Here is a 25156-nt window from a genome sequence, read left to right as displayed (position 1 = left end):
ATCATGATCAAAACTGTGCATCTTGTAACAGTGCCATATAAATTTGCTCCCAGATGAAAACTATTTTTGCTAAGTCTTCCTTAAAAGAACAATCCCCAAAAGCAAACTTAACCTACTGGGAAATCTCATCTTTGATATTCAAAACTCTATCCAGCATTGCCCATATTTGAGGAAGCAGAATATAATATTGCTACTAGACCTAGCCTATAATTCTGTGGGCAAATTGTCTCCTAAAGTGAATGAGCATGATTCTATAACTTTCTTATCAAAGTCTGACTGTGGTGTAAATCTTGAGTTAGTGAAGGCTTCTTCAGATATGGACATGAAGAATCTGGCTTTTCTATAACCCTGACAGAAACAAATTGTGCAAATTTGTTCTCCCTGCCTGGCTTTATGATCCCAAGGCTCCACACTCTGTTAGGGCAACCCAAATGCTATTCTTCCTTTAGGGTAAAGCTCCACTAGGAATTGTTCCAGCTTAGTTAAGCTTTTCTTTCCTCCTCTAAACTAAAGCATTTACAATTTGTATCTTATAATTTAACATGTTACTTAAGATATACTTTCTGGCTGGGCACGGTGGCTCATGCCTGTAATCCCAGCACTTTGGGAGGCCGAAGCGGGCTGATCATCTGAGTTCGGGAGTTCCAGACCAGCCTGACCAATATGGTGAAACCCTGTCTCTACTGAAAATACAAAAATTAGCCAGGTGTGGTGGCACGTGCCTGTAATCTCAGCTACTGAGGAGGCTGAGGCGGAAGAATCGCTTGAACCCAGGAGGCAGAGGTTGCAGTGAGCTGAGATTGTGCCACTGCACTCCAGCCTGGGCAACAGAGGGAGACCCTGTCTCAAAAAAAAAAAAAAAGGTATACTTTCTTTTATTTTTCACTAGCCTTTTTTGGTCTGCCAACCTTGTCTTCTCAATTAGAGTAAGTAAGGCAATTGAATTAGACAACACTACCTCTCTTCCTTTCTTACTTCTACTGTATGACAGCACAGAGTACTCATGCATTATGACTTAATAAATGCTTGCTCCTCAGTTTATTAAACATTTACTGAGCATCCACTTTATATGTCATACTGTTCGAGGCTCCAGGGATAGAGTGAGCAAAACAATAAAATACATTGAGAAAAATCCATCCCTCATGGAGCTTACATTATATTGTTGAAAGGCAAAATTCTATTTGGAAAGTATTGCATCATAGAATTAAGTGATGAAATGAAGAATACACCTACATCACTTTGAAGAAACTTCTAAGCTTAGGCATAACCTTGAGAAATACATTTATGATAAAAACAAATGGTAAACAAACAAAAAAAAAGATAAGGTTGAAAGTGACAGAGAGTGGAATGTGAAAAAAATGCAGAGAAGATATTCTTATTGTTATGCCTAAAGAATTAAAATTATTTCTATTTACATAGATTTTTTTTCAAATGCCAACTTGAACCAGATATAGTGAGGTTTTTAATGTGGTGTATTTTTTATTTTTCAAAAACTATAAGGAATTTTATTTTCTTCTGAGTCAAAGGATACAAACTTTAATATGAGAGGAAACATTACTGAGATACCTCTTTACTTTCTAAGAACAACTGCACAACTTTAAGTCACTATAGCAAAATTTCAAGAATTCCTAAAAATATTACAATGTAGAGCCTCTAGCAGGACCTGTATGTATGGAAAGTTAAAATAGGATTTTAAGAGAGGTGTCCTTCTAGTGGAGGTGTAGAAAAGTTCTTGCATATTTATAAACTGTTATTTTCTTATTTCTGTTAGTCTTTAGAATGATATAGAATGTTGATTGCAAATATGAAAAGACTACACAGTTATTGAGCATTTGCTTGCTCATCATGTTATCTAATGCAAGATACTTATTTTGTAGATGCAGAATCTGAGGTCTGGAGAGATTAAATAACTTAACTGAATTTACACAGCTGGATAGTAACAGTTTAGGGACTAGAACACAGAGTTGATCAGATTTTGACCAGCTGTTTCCCATCTCTATACATGATGAAACTACTGGTCATTTCAACAGGAAAAAAATAATGTAATTATGAGTTATAAATTCATGAGTATGCAGATGGTAAACAGCAGACTAAACTATGTACACAGTATATGAAATCTGGGGCCCAAGAGATTCATAAAAGCAAATAAACAATAATCTTTCCTATATATTTTCAGGGCATTCATGCTTAGGTTTGCACAACTGAACACAATGCCTTCTGTAAGTCTGTTCCAGGATGGTGAATCTATAAACAGAATGCTTATTGTTGATGTCCTGAGTGAGCACTTTACCACCAAGGGGCAAAAGTATCATAACATTGAAATTTTAAAAGGTTCCACTGTGAGTATAACAGATACTCTGTGCGTGTGTGTGTCTGTGTGTATGTTATGTATGTGTGTGTGTGTGTGTGTGTGTATATATATATACTCATACACAATCACCTAATTTATTTATTTAGCAAATATTTAATGCATAGATTTTATGTGACAGGTGCTATGGTAGACCCTGGGGATATTAACATTTGTTGACTGTCCAATAGAAAATATTGACATACAATTGAAATGCAGAGTATAGTTATGCACTGTGATAGGGTAAATATAAGGAGTTATGAAAGAACAAGCAAGATAAGATCATAAAGGACTTTGCAAATAATTTTACAGAAATAATCAACTATAAACACACCACACAGAGAAAAACATTGGTAACATTTCATAAATTTAATATTCATTTCCTTATGACCATGTGTGTACATCAATTGTCACATAACTGGGGTAACAATATATATAGGGTTTCTAATCCTGCTACACTTAACACAATATTGTAAACATTATTCTCATTCACTAGACTTGTCATTCCATTTCACAGACATAGTACACTTTATTTATTGTTTACTGTTGGTCATTTAGGATATTTATACCCTTCCCTATTATAAATGATAAATTTTTCTATACACATACAGTTTTTCTACCCATATTATCTTTCCTAAACACTGACAAGGCCTAGTAGTGGATTTAAAGAGTATAATAATTTTAAAGTGCTAGATACACAATACCATGTAATTTTATAGTTACTCCTGCAGTGATATGAAGATTTTTACCAAATCATACACTAAGCAGTCAGAGCATTACCATTTTCCAAAGAAAAATCAACGAGTCCAATTTGATGAGAAAAACATTGCCTACCATTACTGTTTTAATTTGCATTTCTCTGATTTGCAGCAAGAGTGAAGTTTTTTTGTAATGCATATTAGGTAATTGCCTTTTTTCTCAGAATTGATCGCTCTTGTCTTTTGCCAATTTTACCATGGTTTTTTCATTACAAATATTTTCCCCAGCTTACCCTTTATTTTCATTTTGTTTATAATAAATTTTGATGTATGAAATTCCCATTAAAGCCACATGTTTTTTGCTTTGTAATTTTTTTAGATCATTATTTATATTCACACCTATATGCACCTCTTCTTAAGATTTTATTTTTACCATATCTGTTTGATCATTTAAAATTTGTTTTAGGGTATTTTCCTAGTTAATGATTTGATTTGGAATATTCTAAATAATAGTTTTCCCTGAATAAATTTTATTCAATGATGAACTTTCTCATTAGTTTGAGATATATTCTTTATCCTATATTAAATCTCTTTGTGTGGTAAGGACTTCTTTCAAGACTATCTCTTCGGTTTCTTTAATCAGAAATTTTTTATGCTCTCATAGGAAACACAAATAATTTCTGATACATAAGCTAATTATTCACTAGTTGATTTTGATTAAATATGCATTCCACATTTTAAGAAGACATTCCTGGATGAGAATCCATGTTAAAAAGTTTCCATATCCACATGGAGCAGCACTATATTTCATATTTATGTAACAACTGCATTATCCTAGCAACAAATGACATTTCACTATATAAACACAATACCCTGAATTTTTGTAAAGTATTATGGAAACCTGCCACCACATCTCCTAAGAAAGCTTTTAAACAGAAAACTAAGTAAAATTTCAGTGAAGAAATGTAACCATGAAAAAAATGATTAGTTACTGAAAAATGAATATTAAAATTAAATAAAGCTCTTTTATGCAAAATACAGTATAGAAATACCATCTGCTTGCCATATCTGTGTTAAGTTTAGACAGTGTACAATCTAAGTGTTTGGCTAGCTTAAATCCTAAACATAATTAGTCTTCTTAGTTGTTGAATCAATAGGCAACAATGATTTTGCATTTTTTGACCTTAAAATTATACTTTTCCTGAAAATCAGGTCCCTATTGGCCAAATTTACGTTAAATAAAGGAAAACTCTTCCCATACTCTGCCTGTGGTGTTTCTTACACCTTGATGAACCATAATTGGTTAAAAAGTCACATGAAGGCAGATACATTAGTTCATTCCTTCCACTTGAGGCAGAGAGGAACTGTGAGACACCAGAAAGGGAACATTTAAAAAAAATATGAAAATATAGAATAAAATTAAAATTAGTAGTGAAATAAAACAAAGAAACATTCATTGTGAAAAGTTTAGAGAATGACATTCAGTTCTAGATTGCAGTAGAAGAATGAGGATCTCTGCTTTGACGGGTCATTAAAATTTTAACTCTTCATAAATGAGGAAAGAGACCATATCATAAGAAAAGGTCTTCAGAAACCTAATGCATTTTGATTGTTTTTTGCATTTCATCCATCATTATGTATTCTTCTTCTATTTTGAAAATGGATGACAAAAATTATATTAAGTGTATTTTTAAAATTTTGTTTAACAAAGAACTAAACGAGTTTTCATAAATTGGCTACATCTAATACCTACTTTTAGAATAGTGATAAATTACATGGCATGTCATTTACTGAAAATCTACTTTTATAGTTTTATTAATTCAACAATTTAAGGCAAGAGTGTCTAATGAGATTTTAACATAAACTGCTACAACTTTATCTTCACTATATGCTGTTAAAATTTGACATAAGCAAAAAATCTCTTTAATTTATGCTACATTTAAAGTGCTAATTATTTGAGTCTTTCAAAATGTGTTGTATGTTTTCGAGCATGTCTGCATTAGGTTCAGCTTAGTCATATAAAAGAAGCTATACCACCCTGTAGTATTTTACCATAGATTTCATTTTATGGATTTTACAAAAATAAATGTTTAAAAAGGCACAGATTTTATGGAATAAACACTTCCCTATTTTGAGGGTTTGAGTGGCAAATGTTAAGGGTTTGAACGATAAGAGAAAACTAAAACTCAAAGTTTATTCATCACCACTACCTGCACATTATTTGGGATAGTGGCTTTCTTTTTCCCTTTGCTGAATGTTCCCTGGAGGAACCATTACTGTTGCCAGAATGACCATGGTGAAAGCACTACGATTTTGAAGAAGTCTCCTTAATTTTGTGAATCTCATTCTTATTTTGGAGATGAGTCTTCTCCTCTGGAACCTAACGTTTTCATAGCACTCATTTGAGAGAATAACTGAGAGGCTTTCAGGTTATTTTGAACACACACACACACACACACACACACACACACACACATCCAAGATGTACCTCTGGAAAAATTCTTAGTCTGATATACTGTCACTCCTTTGTGACCCCTTAAAGATTTGTGAACATTCATGAAGAACACTTCTTCATTCTACTAAAAATAAAGAATTGGAGAACAGTGAAAGAAGGTGGTTGGCGATGATAAACTTGCAAATTGGAAATAAGTAGTAATGCTCTAACTAGAATGTTCTACTGATGGTGTTCCTGTCTACAAAGAGTGACGATGCAGGGGATGGTGACCTTCTATCTCCTGAAGTGCAATTTATTTTTTCTGTTTTCCTCTTAAATAAGCTAACAAACATTTCTGCTGGTTGCAGGAAGGTTTTAGGTGAGATATTTCAGGAAGACCATCTTAAAAGAGTCAGTTAAAAGATACAAGGGGATTAAAAATATTTCTTAGAAATCTTTGAAATAGGATAAAAATAATATTTATTTGAGAAGGGCATATGTGCGTCTTGCCTCATGACTAGTAGCTGAACTCTACATTCTCTTTAGATTACTTCAAGCATGTGAAAACCATCACCTTATAAGTGTAAAACTAATATGAGCTGGTAGGAATTTGGTTAATACAATTCAGAAAGTGGAAAATAATTTATTTTAGGAAATAATTTTGCACATCAGTTATAGTTTAAATTTAAATATAATTAAGGCCGGGCACAATGGCTCACGCCTGTAATCCCAGCACTTTGGGAGGCCAAGGCAGGCGGAACAAGAGGTCAGGAGATTGAGACCATCATGGCTAACATGGTGAAACCCCGTCTCTATTAAAAATACAAAAAATTACCCTGGCGTGGTGGCATGCGCCTATAGTCCCAGCTACTTGGGAGGCTAAGGCAAGAGAATCGCTTGAACCCAGGAGGCAGAAGTTGCAGTGAGCCGAGATCGCGCCACTGCACTCCAGCCTGGGCGACAGGGCAAGACTCTGCCTCAAAAACAAACAAATAAACAAAAAGGAAAAACATATATATATATATATTTGAGTTGCATTTCAAATAGCATTTAATTGTTTACCTCTTAATACAAGTATCTCACATTTTGTAAAACAGCTAAAAAAAACCAGCAGATAATATTTTAAATATTCAAAACTGCTCAATACATTAAACATTTATTCTCATAAAAATAGAATGAGAAACCTATTCCAAATTTCTAGGATTCTAAATGTGCAATCCCTATCTAGAGCTGATCAATATATTTATGTTTATAAAAAATAATAAACTTAAAAATATCAAATTATGATACAGGGCATAGCTACTAAATAAATAGGTCAAAATACAATCTGAACAACTCATAGATAGACAATGGCCAAACATCCACTATTTATATATAGAAGCCTTGAAACAGGAAGTCAAAATAGTATGGCATCCATTAATATGAGCATTATAAAGTAAAAACTAATACCTATTTAGGATATTTAGTTTCAGCAGAAGATAATTTTTGTAAAAAAACAAAATGAAAAACAACATAAAGCACATTTCTATTTATATACTATAGATATATCTATCATCCTTGGAATAATATTTACTTGCTTTAATAAAAGATTACTTAGGAAATATGTAAGCTGAATTGCAATATAAAAGAATGAATACAAATAATTTCAATTTCTGTAATAATTATTTCGAGGGGAAAAACACTTTTATATTTTAGAACACATGTTGAAAGTGACTAAGTATAACAATATATAGCAGAGCATAAAAGTATCGATAACTGAAATCCACCCTTAGACCTATTAGAATGTCAAAATAACTAGAATGCATTAAATTATGGAACTCTCTTTCAATTTGTTTTTCTGTTTTTAATCTTTCATTACTAAAAGCTTTGCTTACTACCTAACAGAATAAATGTGTGGTCAAACAACTAGGCTTTCTTTCATAAAAATCAGGAAAATGTCAACATTCACCGCCTGTCATATCACTGTTTAATCATTTATTACTTCATATATATTTTAAGGTCTTGTGTACTAAGTAATATTTCAGGCAGTCAGTTCTTGAAAATGTATATTGAATCAGATATTATATATTTAATTTTGTTTTTTTTCACGTAGACAAACTTTCACTTCCAAATCTTAAAGAGTAAAAGACTGTTAGCTGCTCCATAGCAACCATCATGTCTCAAACACACAGGCATCTTTTTTTCCCACTACATAACAGATAGCTCAATATTTAGTGTGTCAGAATCATTGATTATATTGGTTTGCTGAGTAACACAGAGAGGTAAATTTGAAAAACAGTGACATTACCACTTTACAAAATGTTTTCAGGGCTGGCTTCATGAATGTATGGCTTGTGCAGATGCACAGCTCTCCCAACTCTCTTAGGGTTTAATGCTCAGCTAATGCCATCAAAATTCTTAATAATGTTTATCTTTGCACTCATATTTTTAAAGTGAATACAAATGGGACAATGGTTGCCTGGGCTCTAGGATCTAGGTTCAGCCTCCCACTACTTCACCATATCCACAGGATGCGTTCTCCCTGGCACACTCCCCCACTCTTAGCCATGCAGTCTTCCAATCCCTATCCCTGCCCTGTGACTGCTGTCATAGTCTGCCTGGGTTAGGTGAATATATTGACCTCAGTGCAGGTAGGACCACATTCCTGGGTTGCCTGTTCATTTTCCCCAGTGAGGGATCTGGACATCATGGAAAGGATCTAGGTTGGATATGCTAACCCTGGAGCATCGTGTGGGTGTGCCTGTGCGTGCGCGCGCGTGTGTGTGTGTATGTGTGTGAGTGTGTGTGTGTAGCTGTTTCTGCTTTGCAGATTTCATGTCTTAACGCAAGCAGGTCTCTCACCTACCAGGGAGGAGATTTGAAGACCACTGGTGGTCTCCCATTGTGGGTTACAAAGGCAGCTGGAGTCCTGAGGCAGGGCCCTGGGAACCTGGGAGTGTCATCATTTTTCTGCTCAAGTATCCCTGGTACAGAGGGAGTGCTCTCTGGACAGGCACCGTGTTTTAAGGGACCCTCTCTTTTACTTCCCAACCTTCCTGAGTCTGGCTGATATTTTTCTGTTCTGGCCTACTTGAGACACACTTGGGAACAGGAGGTGCATGTGGGGTCAACTACAGAAAAAAGACTTGTATATTTTGATGCTTTCACTTATGTTAAATGTTCTTGTATTTGCATTTAAAATGGTCACTGAACAATATAAAGATGAATGTTAAATTTTAATGCAAATAATTTGAAATTTTACTTTTTCTTTACTTAGAGGGACATTAAATGGCAAACAAAAAACATTGTGCCAAGTTGAGAGAGAAAAATCACTGAAAGAAAGAGCACTGTATTTTAGTACCTTTTATGGCTCTCTTTTCCTACTTTTTGAACAAAGGGTCCCGCATTTTTATTTTTCACTGGACATCATAAATTATTTATGTAGACGACTGACTGTTTTAGAATCTAAACGAAATAGAAAAGTGCAGAGGAATACATGGAAGAAAAAACACTCATCTAATGATGGTCTGTGGAATTTCTGCCTGATTAAAAGGTCGGCAATTAGTTTTTCAATCTTTGCAATTGAAATATTTTTAAGTATGAAGAAATTCACATTTTTAATGATGATCAGAATAATCCATCCACTTTGAAAGTAATTTTGTTTTATTTATTTTTTTTTTGAGACGGAGTCTCCCTCTGTCGTCGGCTGGAGTGCAGAGGGACGATCTCAGCTCACTGCAAGCTCCGCCTCCTGGGTTCAGGCCATTCTCCTGATTCAGCCTCCCGAGTAGCTGGGACTACAGGTGCCTGCAACCACGCCCGGCTAATTTTTTGTATTTTTAGTAGAGACGGGGTTTCACTGTGTTAGCCAGGACGGTCTCGATCTCCTGACCTCGTGATCCGCCTGCCTCGGCCTCCCAAAGTGCTGAGATTACAGGCGTGAGCCACTGCGCCCGGCCTTTTGTTTTATTCTTACACATTAATGCTATTTTAATCCTTATGGATATTTACTTCAAAGAGGCTTTTAGAAAATATCACAAATGGCCAGGTGCCGTGGCTCATGCCTGTAATCCCAGTACTTTGGGAGGCCAAGGTGGGTGGAACATGAGGTCGGGAGTTCAAGATCAGCCTGGCCAACATGGTGAAACCCTGTCTCTACTAAAAACACAAAAAAATTAGCTAGGCATGGTGGTGGGCACCTGTAATCCCAGCTACTTGGGAGGCTGAGGCAGAGAATTGTCTGAACCCAGGAGGCAGAGGTTGCAGTGAGCCAAGACCATGACACTGCACTCCACCCTGGGGACAAAGTGAGACTCTGTCTAAAAAAAGAGAAAAAAAAAAAGAAAATATCAAATATCACAAATAAACCCAGTGTTAAATATTAACAACATACATAATGAATCAGTTATCCAAATCATCTCATTCATTTTGTAGGCAGAGTTCAGTTAATGAAATCAAATTGGCATCCATTTTCAAACAAAGAACTATATTGAAAATGTGCCAGTTTGTTAGACATTTGCCTAACCATAAAGTAGAGCCTTATATCATATGATAGCTATAGATTATGTAGGATGTGATCATGCACACACTTAATTTCAATTTAGTTAAACATCTGCTAATCTGGTTTAATTTTACAGGATTTAAAGCATTTTACTAAAGAATCGTATGACTATTTTTTAATTCGTACAGATAAATGCCATTAAAATTGTTGATATAGTAATAGAGGCACCAAAACAGCAATAAGGTCTTATTATTTTATGCTATATAAAATACTTAGTCACCTTTCCTGCAAAATGTGCAAATGAGAATTCCTCAGAGAACACAGCTGACGACTCTAAAAGCCAACTGCTCAAAATCAAGTTTAGGATTAAACACATTTCTTTAGCAATGTATGATCACGGAGAAAAATTGCTATTAAAGGATGGTTTAGTGTTGATTAAAATCCATTGTTGAAAATGTAGGTATAGCACCAGAGGATTTAGTGAACATGAAATTTAGTATATGCTAAAGAATAAATATGCCATTAATACTTTCTTGTTACTTTCCAGACGTATTCCTGCTTGAATTTAAGGCTTTGACCTTTTTATATCCATTGCCTGTAATAGTCTTCTTTTATATAGTTACAAGATTTTCTCTTCAATTCGTGATCTGCTCAAGTGTCAAGTTATAGAGGTGTTTTTGGTTTCCTTGCATAAAACTAACCATTTATTTTCAAATCACTTACTCTGTTTAGTTCTTCCTCATGGGACCTATCACTTTTTAACACTAAAGTATAATGTCTATAAAAGCAGGAACAGTGTTAATTGTTTTTCTCTTTATTGCTATATTCCTAGAACACAGAACAGTTCTTGCCAGAAGCTAAACAGTCAATAAATATTTTTTAATGAATTCAGCAAATGAAAAGTTAACTCACACCATCTTCAATCTCTATTAATGCAGTGGGTAGAGATTTATTGTTATAGGCAATGTAAATGGAGGATATTCTTAGTCAATAACACATCATTCATGCCCTCAAGAAGCTTACATATTGGTGGAAAGGCAAATTATTAAAAAATATGATTATTGTCCAGTGAGACAGTGACACCGTAGTGTTTTACACAACTGTCTGAGAACAGTTGTTCAATTTCTACAGCTGCTGACTGGGAGCAGAGTTGCTGACCAACTCTCTGCAAACGAATTTCTAAAGTCTGAGGTCCTTTCCTATAGTATTCAATTACTCAAAAGATGTGTGTCACAAAAAGATGCTAGACTTGGAAGTAATTTGGTGTTTTTCAGGAGTGTAAACAAATTTTACAATCACCTAGATTATAATTTAATATTTGGCTGCACTATAATCATTATGCAATCATTACTAATCATGATTTAGTAATGATTAGCCAGTTTGACATTTCTTCCATAAATAAAACATTCAGTGCACTTTTCAGGGGAACAACACTTTTGTTGAAGACAGAAATATTTTATACTTCAATATATCTAGCTTTTGAATATATAATTTGCCTATGTATAAGAAATATGGAAAATACAAATAATACAGCATCTTTCTTAGTTAAAGTCAGGGTTATTGCCTGTTTTAATAAACAAAATAAAACTTATCATGCCTCTGGCTTGTATTTCATGTATATTTAGTAAGTATTTAAAACTTCCACACTTTTTTTTTTTTTACTTTGAATAGTATTGCATAGGTTTTTAAAAGAATATTTGCTGTGAGCATTTTTGAAAACACAGTGAGGACTGTGAGAGATGTTCAGAGATAAAATACATTAAAATGCAAATATAAAGACAAATGAATGTTTACACTATCCCTAATTACTTACTCCAGCAACATGTAAAAGGTTGGCATTTGAAATAGACTGTATTTCTAAAATCCAGTGAACTGTAAACCAAATAGACATCTCAAGTTTATAAATATATAGAGACTTTTGTTGATTTAAACATATTTTCAATGTCAGTTTAATTAGTTATTCCTGCTACAGTAGGTACATGAAATCTGCAATCACAATGTGGGCCTAAGGCAGGCCTATACAGAATGGTCACTTAAGGGCAGAGATAGGAGTGCTGAGTGTATTTTTTAAGATACCAATGAATTGGACAACTTGCTTCTGACAAGAATTGCTTTAAAGACCCTTTAGCAAATATCAGCAGAATTGGTTTGTAATTTACCATGTCTTTCACTTTGAACATGGTCCCTAAAGGTTTTTGCACATGTCAGGATATCTACAAACACAATTTGTTTTGGGTCGACTATCCATGATTAACGTTTTCCTTTACTGTCTAAAACCTGAATAATTACTTTTTACTGAACTACACACCTTCGTTTTCCTATCATGCACTGAAGACTAAAATCAAATGTCTTCTGCATGTTGCTTTCTTGTTTTGCTCTCTAAATGAAACACCTTTCAAGACCATTTACATAAACTATGAAAACAGAAGGTTGCAAATATAGATCTTAGGAACTGTAGAAGTCAGTTAATTAAGATTTATTGCAAAGATTCCTTATGATGAAAGTCATAGTTTTAACTTCATAATCTTATTTATCAAACTAGACTCAGAATAATCAAGGAATGTTTCTCCTAACTACATCTAAGTGGTTCTAAGTGATTTCAAACTTTTTTTTTACATTTGTTTAATTATAAACAGAGCAAACAATTAAGCCAGATTTGTTTAATGTGGTTTTCTTAGTATTTCTTAAATATGAGAAAAAATATATACATACAGTCAACTACATGAAAGAAAAAGCAAACCAATGCCAATTTATTTCATATCGATCTTCATGTTCCACAATGTGCATACATAGAGTAGGAAAAAATAATTAATATAACTGTCTATATTTTTTGGTCTCTAATATTTTTTCCATACTCATGTAAGTATGACCTCATGAGCAATCTTATTAGTCTGACTTCTTTTCCCTATTTGTGGCCCTGGAAAAATTCCAGCATCTTCTGACAAGTGGCTGATTCTTTAACTTGTTTCAGCTATTTGCAGATACCCATTCATTTTTCCAAATTTTAGATGAACTCTTCAGCTCCTTCCCCAAATCCTGCTGTACTTCTATGATATGCTATCTTACATATGATCAGCCTCTAATTCCTCCATTATCCAACTTTTGCCTGGTTCCTTCTACTCAGAATGATTTCTCTTATATCAGCCTCATTTTACCTAATCACTTTCTATTCATCCCTCAGAACAGAACTTAATTTAAATGTTGCTTCCTTGGTAAGATGGCCCCCCAACTTATCCTCCAGATTTGGAGAATATATGCTTTCAGAGCACCCTAGGCTTCTCCTTAGCAGTACTTTAACTAGAGTACTAACTACATATTTGTGAAATTACCTGCTTATTAACTGCCTCCCACCAGACTTTAAGGTACATAAAGGCTCACTATCATACACAAGGAATACACTAAAAATATGTTAAATAAATTGAAAGTTTATGAATAACACTTATCAATTTTGCATTTTTGTACAAAAACAATATGTAACCTACAGAGAAGGTAAACCACTTTACTCTTGTCCTCTCAGTCCAGTGAAATCGTAACGTGTTATCAGATAGTTTTTGCAATTGTCTCCTAAATCAGTTAAAAGAGAATTCCCAAAGATACTCCAAGTGGAGTGATGGGAAATTATTTCCTGTATTTGAAGCAATACAATTATTTTATTTTATTTACTAAGCAATACAATTATTTATTTACAACTGAACAAAATGGCATCAGTTGAAAGTTTGTTCTGAAACATTCAGTTTGTATAAATTCTTTTTAAATTGAACACTACACTCTGACTCCTTTGGAAATGGAAAGGATATCTGATACATCCACAGATTGAATAGTTCATAACATTACCCTTACCTGGAGTATCTGCATTTTCACAGGTGTGATTCTCTAACTTTAGAATTTCAAGCACAAGAAGAGGGGGTCTTCTTGGTATCTCTCAAAATTATGACATGGAGGTAGATGCTTATATTTAAGGCTGGTCATAATATTTTATTAGTATATACATGACAATATTTTAGTTGGTTTAGGACCTTTATGTACTTTCAAATAAAATATAAATATATTTTGATTATTTTAATATTTATATCTAAAACAAAATCAAATTAAATTAACAATAATCATTTCTTAATATTCAAAAAAGATAAATTATTGGAACAAATTGCTTAATGATATTATCCTTCCAGAATATATAGTTCCAATATATGTATACCACCTCTTAGTTCATGTTTGATATATATCTTTTTTCCATATAACAACATACTTTTAATGAACTATCCCATTTTAAAAGTGAAAAACAACTTATATTTTATCCTTTTGATAAGCAGAGACATGAACTAAATATACTCTTTTGTAATCCTAGAATGAAAGGCTGCTGTATGTGTGAAATTATGTAAGCATATTTACATATTTATTTTATTTAAAGTGACATACTGATTTTGTACAGAAATTAAATTTTTTTCCCTGTAGCTAAAAATCGTTGTACTAGATTGTATTTTTTGATAAGGTTGAGGCAATAAAAACCTTCAAAATCATCTGCTGAAGCAGAGAGGAACAGAAAACTCTCATCTACTTTATATTTAAGATATATTTGACAAGATTTTGTTGATACTAAAGGAAAGAGGAAAAGAAAAGAGAAAATAGGAATTCTATTTTGAATAACCATAAAGCAAATTCTATGATGTGGAACTATGCTAAATGAAGAGGAAAATTACACAGTAAATACAAAGACTATGAGTGTACAATATTATATGGCTTTGCTTTATTTATTAGAGGTATTTCTGAAGATTATCAGCAAAGTGAATTTATGTATAATATCATGGAACACTAGGAAATTGACATTGGTCCAATCTACAGGGCTTGTGTGTGTGTGTGTGCATGACATTTATCATGTACATGTCCATTTATCACGTATGTAGTGTCAGGTAACTATCACCACAATCAAGATATACAACTATCATCACAGTCCTCCCTCCTACCACTTCATAGCCACACTGCCCTCCTCCAAATCTCTAAGCCCTGGCAACCACTAATCTGTTTTCCATATCTGTAATTATATTATATCAAGAATATTATATGAGTGGAATCATACAGAATGCATCCTTTTGAAATAGGCTTTTCAGTCTGCATAGTGCCACTTTGTTCATTTTTATTGCTGAGTATTATCACAACACATTCAAATCAATGTATTTTATTTTAAATATGCTGCCATTGTGTATATTATGCTGAATTGTCTTTCTACATATTCATATGTTGAAGTCACAACCCCTAGGACCTCAGAATGAGATTGCATTTAGAAATGGGGTCTCTAAAGAGTAATTAAGGTAAAATGAGATCATATGAGTGGGTCCTAATTCAATATGACTAATGTCCTTATAAGAAGAGAAGATTAGGAGATTAGACATAAGGAGGACAGACCTTGTGAAACCAAGGGAAAAGATGGCCACCTACAAACCAAGGACACAGGCCTCAGAACGAAATCAACAATGCTGACAACTTGATTCTTCTAGCCTGCAAAGCTATGAGAAAATAAATTGTCTGTTGCTTAAGCCACACAGCCTGTCTTATTTGTTATGGCTGCCTTAGCAAACAAATGTGGTGTATAAAAATAGTTTTATCTTTATAAATTTTTCTCATATATGTGTTCATTTACAATACTTTCTACTATAAGGCAATAACTTGTGTGCCCATATAATTTATGAACACTTCTCGAAAGGAGTTTTAAAAATCTCTGAAGCTTTTCTTGTTTCCTGGTCTGCAATATAATTATGTTATGAAGGAATTAAAGAAAGTATATACTTGTAAAAATCATAGGAGTGTTTGCGCCTGACCATATTATAGTAAAAATCTATGATGTTATAAAGAGAACATTTAGCTGAATTCATCAGATTTCTGAACAGTTTAACTACTTTTCACAAACTTCACATAGATGATGACATTTGAACACATTTCTAAATTTTTCTGCTACTTAGAGTGGAACACAAATATATTAGTTGGAATGCTTTCATAATATAGACATGAATTATAGTTTTAAAAATTCTTACTATTTGCTTTATTTGACATGCAAAAAGGATGGCAGCATAAGTGGGGCAATTGAAATTCAATTCATTTAATAACATTTTATTGATTTCTGACTTCTATTGGTAAGTAATATGGACTTACTCATTAAGATATATTGTTATATGATTATACAAAATACATGAGTACATAAACAGTGGAGGGAAGCATTTCATCTTATTATTCATACTGCTGAGAAGTAATATAAAAATATCTTTCTGAGTTTTAGGAAAGAACAAGAACAACAACCAGTGCATTACCTCTGCAGTGTATAACGTATATGACTGCATAGCACCTGCAATAAATACATGCCCATGAGGGATATTTATGCATCAAAAGAAATTATGGGTCTGTTTTGAGAGAACAGCAGTGGAACTTACCATCTTGATCCGTGGTCACTGTAATAGCTGTGAATGGCTTGGGAGAAAAACTCAACTCAGAAACTCCATTCATTGCTTCTATTTCAAAGGTGTAATTCACGTGAGACACAAAGTCAAGTACTATCACGGAATTGTTGATCAGGCCTGTATGTCTTGGGATGAAGCGGAGTCCTCCACCACAGTCCTCACACTGGCTGGTGTCTAAGCCACATTTCTTACAGATTACACTGTATGTGAGATCTTTTCTCCCTCCTGTGTCACTTGGTGGGCTCCATTCCAAAATAAGGGCTGTTTCATTGATGTTAAAAACCACATTCCTAGGAGCTGAAGGTGGCCCTAGAGAAAAGCAATTAAAAAACAAATGTACATATATAGGACAATGAATTATGGCGCTAAAATGAAAACTTCATCAATAAACACTTGTTGCTCTTTTATGTTAGTTTGAACTCTTTTTCTAATGGGATCTATAATGATCACATGGTTAAAATAGCTCATTAGGTCTAGTAGGGAAGGAGTCTTGAGGAATGAAGATCTATATCATAAATTTTTGGAGTATGAATTTCAATATTTAATATAAAAATCAGGATATCTGTAAAACATATGGTAATTACACCTTTTAAACTTGACTGAAAATATATAACAAAAATTATTTTAAATTATGTGATGGCTTTAATTACATCTTATTAATTATATCACCATTTTCAAAATTTGAAAAAAAATAGTAACATACATATACAAAACACATTGTTGTAAGTTTTTCAGTCTTCATACTATAATTCATATGTAGATAAAATCCCCATTCATCACCTCCGAAAATCACTAAAAATCTGTTTCCCAAAGGTTGAGATTAAATGACCATAAATTTAGGGTGAGCAGATGATTTGGAAAAAGGAAAAACGAAATGAAAATTGAAGGCAACAAAAAACCTTTTATTAAGTCCTTGTCAATTTGATGTGATAAAAGCATGATATGGAAGGGATAAAAAGGGGCCACTGACAAGAAATGATGGCAGGACTTTCATTTAGATTAAGTTTACTAAACACAAGTAGGTGTGTCCTTTAAACTAAGCGTGGGCCTAAAAGAGACCCACACTATTCTCCTATTTGTCATAAAGACCTCGAAAACCAAGTCAGTCTAAGGAGGGGATGAGCATCTTCTTATTTTCCACAAAGATCACACCGTGTAGAGTGCTTGATAGCCGCTAATTACTCCAGCCTTTCCTTAAAATTGTGTGAATAATCCTATATACTTATCTGAGTCCTTTAAGCCTCAGTTTTATAATGTTCATTAAACAAATATTACCTGAATGTCTTCTAGGAGCCAGACACTATGCTAAGTACTATATGTGAAAAACCACAGAATCCGTATGCTGTGAGAGGCTATACTTATGAGAGATATTTAGAAAAATAATATACTATATAAATGACTGTTGAAACAACAGTCACGCCATATTTTAGAAGGCTTCATTTAAAAAAAAAATCTAAACCAATTCTCTAATTTCTGTTACCAAGAAACTCTGCTTAGAGCGTGGAAAGCAATGTCTCCCTAGCATTCGCTCCTAGAAATAAATTCAAGTTTTGATATAGGCTCCTTTTGGATTTCAAGCTACGGCCATTCATTCATTAAATATTTTATTTAGTGTCTACTATGTGGCAGATACTCTACTAGATCTTGGGCTTACAGAGATAAGACATGGTAGACATTATTCCTTCTCTCTTGTTATTTACATTTTGGTGGAGTGACTAGATCTATGTAAGCGGATGAATAAAATTCAAATCATAATGTTTGCAATTACAAAAATTAGAAAGACAGGTGCTGAAATAAAAGCAATCAGGTGGACCCCTGTTTTAGGTAACATTCTGAGAAAGCCTCATAGAGGTGGTGAGGAGAATATGCAGAGGGGTGGGAAAAATATTAGGAATAGAAAGTATGCCATTCTTGTTCAGAAAGATCTTGAAATAACCATGGAACTGGCAGAAAGTCACTGTGGCTAGACTGCAGAGGGAGAATGCATGAAGTAAGATTTAAGGAACAGGAAGAAGCTAGATAGTGCAGGACTGCTAGGCTCATTGGAATGAGTATGGATAGTTTTCTATGTACAACAGGAAGGGACCTCAGCTACCTATAGGTACATCACCTAGAAATGCAATGAATCATTTTTTCTAAAAGGTTGCTGGGTGCCTTGCTTTATGCCATTTCATATTCCATAGGGTTTACAGAAACGTCTACCTTCAGGAAGGCAAACATGAAGGGGATGATACACTAGAGAACAGGGATAAACGTAGCTTTTTACCTCCAACCTAGACTTAGTCTAGGAGATAAAGATTCATTGTCATTATCATAATAATGTTTTCCGACAGAATGACATATTCATATGGTTGGTCTTTTCTCTTATTTATAATGGAAAGCAGGAATTATTATTCACTTATATTTTCATTCTAGGAAGAATATTATCAATTATGTTATGGGTGTCTATAAGTATATAACTGTCCGCCTGCAGATACTAAAAAAAAAAACAAAAAAAAAAAAAAACAAGAAGGCTGACACCCTTCTTACTCAAGGGCCCTCATACCAATTTGCATGATGATTAAATAGCTTTTTAATTGCTGTTAAATTATGCCAGCTAAACTGTGATTTCATGCAAATATTAAGCTGTAATGACATACAGTGAATCATTTACTAAGATTTAGAACTTGGAACAAAGAGAGACAATTAATTCTAATCCTCAGATTCAACTAAATGATGTGTCACTGGGCTTTTATGAATGTGGCCTGATTGCTTTGTTATCATTTATAAATTATATAAACATTATGTGACACATTGAAAAAATAACATGGCAGCAATAATACTTTTGGAGACATCTGTATTGAAAACTCCCAGGTATTTCCTTATGTTGATTTTGTTTCTTTAAAAGAAACAACTAATTCACACAGAAAGAAAGCAATCTCCAGTCTTCACCCTCCAGACTAACTTCATAAGAAAAAGGCAATTATTCTGATTTGAAACTAGCTGTTTTTCAAGTCCATCATATAATAAACTACCTAAAAACTACAACTTAATTTCTATTAGTTATGCTACAATTTTATTTTCCACTAGCTTTTTTTTTTTAACTAGAAAACACTTTTCTTTTGCTTCAATTTGAATTTCTACTTTATAACTTTAAAGAATAAAGGAACAGTGCTCTACCAGTAAAACTTACGAGATACTTATAGCAAGGTAGACTCTCCCTTACCAGAAAAACATCTGTCCCGGTAGGTCCCAATCTTCCTCTCGGAGTAGCAGAGGCCAGGTGTGCTATGATTTTTGTTTGTTTTATTTCATTTAAGTTTTTAATGTAAATTGTTTTTAAACATAACTGTGTTTCCCAAAATATGTCCTATGCAATCCTTCTAGTCCCATGAAATATCACACAAAAATCAGTTTGTTGCTCAAATAAGACTCTTTTGGTGGACTGATGTGGAAACAAAATTAACACTATTTGCTTCACTTTGTTGAATCCAACATTTCCCAAAAATTTGTTCATAGAATCTTATTTTCCAAGGATCATCTAGAGGAATACTAGCATTCTGCAGAACATGCTTAAATAAAGTCTGACACAGAAGAAGAACAAGCTGAAGGGCCATATTTCAGTTGTCGCATCAACCAGTACAGATTTATGTTTCACGTTTATAATCATAAAAATATGTTAAACCCATAAACAAACAGGGGGATTTTTCATATGGGCTGAAAAGTGACTGCTCACCAATTAAGTCAATAACTAATCATAGTTTGCAGAGGTACTTTTTAAAATCTTAAGAATAATAAAAATTTCACCGAAATATCTGAAGATACCAAGTCATGAAAGACAATTGCATATTAAGCTATATTTAATCAGTTCTTAAGTTACTACCTTTGTTAATTTAATGACTGCCAAGAATGTAGTGCATGGTTTATTAACAGAAAACAAATTTATTCATATTTCTGAGTTTACAAATGAGAGAAAAATAGTTCTATGCTAATCTGGGTTAAAGACAAGATTAAAGGAACACACTGAACCATTTAAAGATGGTTAGGTAAATGCTTTTACGTATCAGTGAATATCATGTTCACTGATATGATATTGATACATACGTATCAATGAATTTCATATTCTCTTTCTCTAAATCACTTCTTTCTCTATCTATATGTTTTGTTTATTAAATTTTTTCTATTTGGAAATGAATGGCAATCACAAAACTGGAGCTCCAATCTTAGCACAGGAAGGAACCATATCAGTATATTCAGATGAAGAAACGAGGTTCAGAAAAGGACAATAATTACATTAAGGTTATGCAGTCCATTAGTGGTAGAATGACAGCCAGTATTTATCTGTTTAGATTATTAAAAACCCTATTACATCATATTCAGCCTATAAATAGAAAATCTGACAAATATATATGAAAATGTACAGTTGACCCTTGAACAACATGCATTTTGAACTGCATGGGTCTACTTACATTGAGGAATCTTTTTCAATAAAAGTTAAACCAAGTGTGCCTGCTTCTCCTGCCTCCCCTTTCACCTCCTCCACTTTTTCTGCCTCTGCCTCCCCTGAGACAGAAAGAACAAGCCCTTCTTTCTCTCCTCCTCCTCAGCTTACTCAACCTGAAGACAATGAGGGCAAAGACCTTCATCATGATCCACTTTCACTTAATAAATAGTGAATACATTTTATCTTCCTTTACGATTTTCTTAGTAACATTTTATTTTCTCTTGCTTACTTTATTGTAATAATATAATAAATAATATGTAGCATATAAAATGTATTAATCAACTGTTTATATTCTAATTACACTTTCTGTTCAACAGTAGGCTATTAGTAGTTAAGTTTGGGGTGAGCCAAAAGTTAGATGCAGGTTTGCAACAGCAAGTGGGGAGTGGATTGGTGCCCCTAACCCCCATGTTGTTCAAGGGTCTACTGTATTTTTATATAGTTTTTTTTGTTTTCAAAGTATTGTCAAATACACATTTTCAAAACATACAAATTAGTAACTGATTATTGCCTTCCTATAGGAGACTCCCTTAAATAATGCTATTAGAGGGTTTAAATAATTTTATATACAGAAGAGCAACTGAAACTTAAGTTTTCAAAGTAAATATTACTCAAAATTCAGGAGTATGCACACTTCAAATCTTTTGCATTCCATATGGCAAAACGGATTGCTTCTGATTATCTTTGATATGCTTGCACCTACTTTTAGTAATTAAATTGATGCCTAAAACAAAACTTGTTATGCATTAATGTTTTCATAGTCCCATCAATCAGGATTTAGTTAACTTTTAGAAGTTATTTTATTTTTAAAGTTAATAGTTAAAACAGGCAAACAAAAAATCGAATAGACCAAATACCATTCATTTCCAGAATAAAACCTAAACTTCTCAGCTTTGTCTACAAGTGTCTTCATACCAGGCCCCCGTCCATTCTTTAGCCTCTAGCTCCCTTTTGCCTTTGTACCTACTGTTCCTGAATTGCCTTTACCGCCTTTTGCTCTCTGAAAAATTCCTACTCACCCTTCATATTCTGATTTAGTTGTTACCTCCTTTGTGACAACTCCTTGCTATCGTCTGTCAGAACTGATCACTTTTATACCTGGTAAGCATGTATTGAAAAAAATATAGCTAACTGTAAGGGGTGTACTTAATATTTCACATAATTTGTTTCACTCAATCATCACAATAACCCTGTAAAATGGTTATTAATATCCCCATTTTATAGAAGAGATGATTGACACTTAGCAAATAATGCACATATTACACTGAAGTAATTTTTTTCATAGGCACAAGTCTGCTAATCTAGCTTGAACCAAAGGTAACATGTTTTAACTAAAGAAATGAATGCAATGCATAGTTTTGTGCAATTCTCTAAGAATTATATTGCACATAGTACAAATTTTGACAAGTATTGTAAAGCAGATAATTCAAGGTTATAATTTTTTAAGAGCCTAGTGCTACTAAGAACAGATCTATATTACATGAAAATTATTTGAAGCAGAAGGGAATGTTTATATTATGAACACTGATATTAACTAATAAAGACCCATAAGAGAATAAGGTGCCACCATCTCTTTACCCATTAGGAGAGAATAAAAATTTCTCAAAATACAGTTCTCTAGACACTTGAAAACCTGAAAAGTAAGCATTTGCATCTTCAAGTTTCTATGCCATACAGCATGTACATAATTTTAGCTTGGGAAATTTCCAAAATGGTAGCTATCAACTATCCTTATCAATGCAAGAAGAAAACCTCAATATTAGTCCATAGAATAACTAATTGTAATAATTACAGAAATGTATTATAGATATGCAGATCAATAGTAAAAGTAAACATAATCACACAAATGAGAAAAAGAGCACTTAAATATAAATAAAATAATGAGGACCTGGCCTTAGATTTTTTGAGTTAAACATTATCCAGTTTCCCTAATACCATGGAAAAAATCATGCTCACTGACATATGGCCTTTTTCATGTTTGAGTAAATTACTTTTAGACAAGCATCCATTAGAAATGGAAAGAGAAATATGAAAAATCCGAGCACTGTCATAATTTCAGAGGGAAAAGCAAAACAATTAATGAATAAATTCAAGCAAATTAATAAACTTTCCTCAAAATGCATAACATTGTAGCAACAATTATGGATGTTCTGTTTCAAATTATGAATGATTTCTTGATAATGATCTGTTTTGTACAAACAGATGATATTGAGTGGGACAATTCTTTCTGAGATACAACTGCAGAGGTCAGGAATAAAGACATACTGGCAACAAGTGGTAACTCGATTCTCCAACATCAGCAGAATGGCCTTATAATAGAGGAAACTCTCCCAGATTATTTGATAAAAGAACCTCTGCTGAAATGTAAATTAAAGTATATGTGTTTAGGCAACTCCATCAAACTCAAGTGATATCTATCAGTAATTTATAATTGGGGAAACGAGGATTCATTACATATAGGTGTCTATTCAGTAGTGTAAGGGTTATTTTAATTTTAAAAATACAGCATTGCAATATACGAAGTGAATATTTAAGTTATTTTTATGATAAGTGAAGTCTAAAATATAACAGCTTGCTTGAGGTAAAAAAAAAAAATCAAAAACAAAAAAAACAAACTGTCGTTGCAATTTCTCCCTTTCTAGGCTCTGCAAAATCGTGAATGCTGCATTGTCTGTACAATGAGTCACCTAAACAATCAGCTGTCCTTTTGAATTTCAGTTGTGAGATGGAAAAGCAAGAGGGCCAAAATGGTTTTCTTTATGCAAAACTTACATTTAAGAAAAAGAGAAAAAAAGTAATGAGATGGCGGGGGAAGAAGAGATAACAAGCAGAACAGGGATGCTTGGATTGTGAGCATCCTGAGCATACCTAGGAGCGGCGATGTGGCTAGAGCAGCTGAAAAGAGGAAAGAATACTTCTCCAACTACATCTCAACCACCATTTGCTCTACGCAGAGTAAGAGTGAGAGAATAATAATTTTCTCAAGTGGCCAATTATTCCAGCACTAAAGAAACCATGCTTTACACTGTTAGCCTTAGAGCAAATGTAAATTCAAGTTTTATGCTTTCTTCCCAATCACTGTCACTGTATATCAAACACAAAGACTTGATATTTGCCTGTGTATTAAGAATGAAGTTGTAGCAAAATGTTTTCACTCATAGGTATTTGTTTGATTGTATATTTAGATAAAACAATACAAAAGAAATTCCTAAGGGTACGCATTAGAATTTACCCATGTGTATGACTTACATTTTATGTTTGAACTTTTCTAAGTAGGCAACGTAAATGTTTGTTAAATGCGTTAATCTTCCAGCACCTGTTTAATAGTTTTAAAAGACAATTTCTCTATTGATTTAAATACATGAAAAACATCAAAGTAAAAGTGCTAAGACCATGGGATTTTTTTTTCTAACCTCTCACTCACCCACCTATTAGACTCTTACGTCATTCCTCTCCATCTTCTCCTACTTTGTGTTTTCTGCTTGACAAGTACTTTTAAAATAACTCTTATTTGCCTACTTTGTTTCTCCAACCTCAGTGACTATTTTTCCCTTTTGGCCTGGAAAAGCCTTGGACAGTTATTTTGATAACAGACTTCTTGGCAGATAGCAGGATCTCCTGTACTCCAAACTGCTCCCAGAGGCAGCCCTAATTGACCAAGACCTGATAGTGTGGAGTGTCCTCCACAGCTCATTCTTTAAAGTACAGAGCATATATTTAATGAGTCACCTGAGAAAAAAAGTTAAGAGGATATGAAATATATTAAAACATTAGATAAAACATTCAGCTTTCTTTTTAAATTTCTTATTCCTAATTTTTAAAATATATTTTTCAGTTAATGCAAAAGAAACACAATGAATTTTTAAAAAGAAAACAACAAGGACAACAATAAAAAGAAAAACAAGGAAGCCCAAACCTGCAGGTATGTAACTGGTATAACTGGAATAACTGGATTAAGATCCAGACTGTTTGAGAAATCCTGGTAAAGTTAAAGTTGGTTAGGGAGAGACAGACCAAGCCTGAACCTTGGATGTCCTTAGATTGACTTATAATTTTGGCAAAGAAGGGTTGTAGATGTGAAAGGCTATAAGCAGCAGTGGGGATATGATCAAAGTTTTTCATTGTTATTGTTGTTCATTTAGAAATAATACTTTCTAATAATTTGGAAGATATTTAGGAAGGATGGAAGACTAAAGGAAGGAGAGTTGCTAGGAGATTGTTAAATTAACCCAAAGGAAAGTTGAGAGTCTTAACTAAAAGGATAAGGC

General features: G+C 33.4%; 1 protein-coding gene across 12 annotated transcripts in view; it reads right to left on the bottom strand.

Annotated features, from left to right (window-relative positions):
• Positions 1 to 25156, bottom strand: part of EPHA6 (EPH receptor A6) — a 946939-nt gene that overhangs the window by 500867 nt on the left and 420916 nt on the right. For 11 of the 12 annotated variants that reach the window (XR_001740110.2, XR_924126.3, XM_017006211.2 and 8 more), the window contains one exon: positions 16379 to 16714. Coding sequence is in view for 10 of the 12 variants with exons in the window: in XM_017006211.2 (XP_016861700.1) it covers positions 16379 to 16714 (336 nt within the window). In the remaining 2 variants the exon portion in view is untranslated. Of the gene's footprint in view, positions 1 to 16378; positions 16715 to 25156 lie in introns of those variants that run through there. The other variant, XM_017006218.1, reaches the window with a different exon arrangement.

Source organism: Homo sapiens, chromosome 3 (genome assembly GCF_000001405.40).
Source record: "Homo sapiens chromosome 3, GRCh38.p14 Primary Assembly".
Classification (NCBI taxonomy): Eukaryota; Metazoa; Chordata; class Mammalia; order Primates; family Hominidae; genus Homo; species Homo sapiens.
The sequence above is the reverse complement of the archived record's forward strand: the minus strand, read 5'-3'. Positions and strand labels throughout refer to the sequence as shown.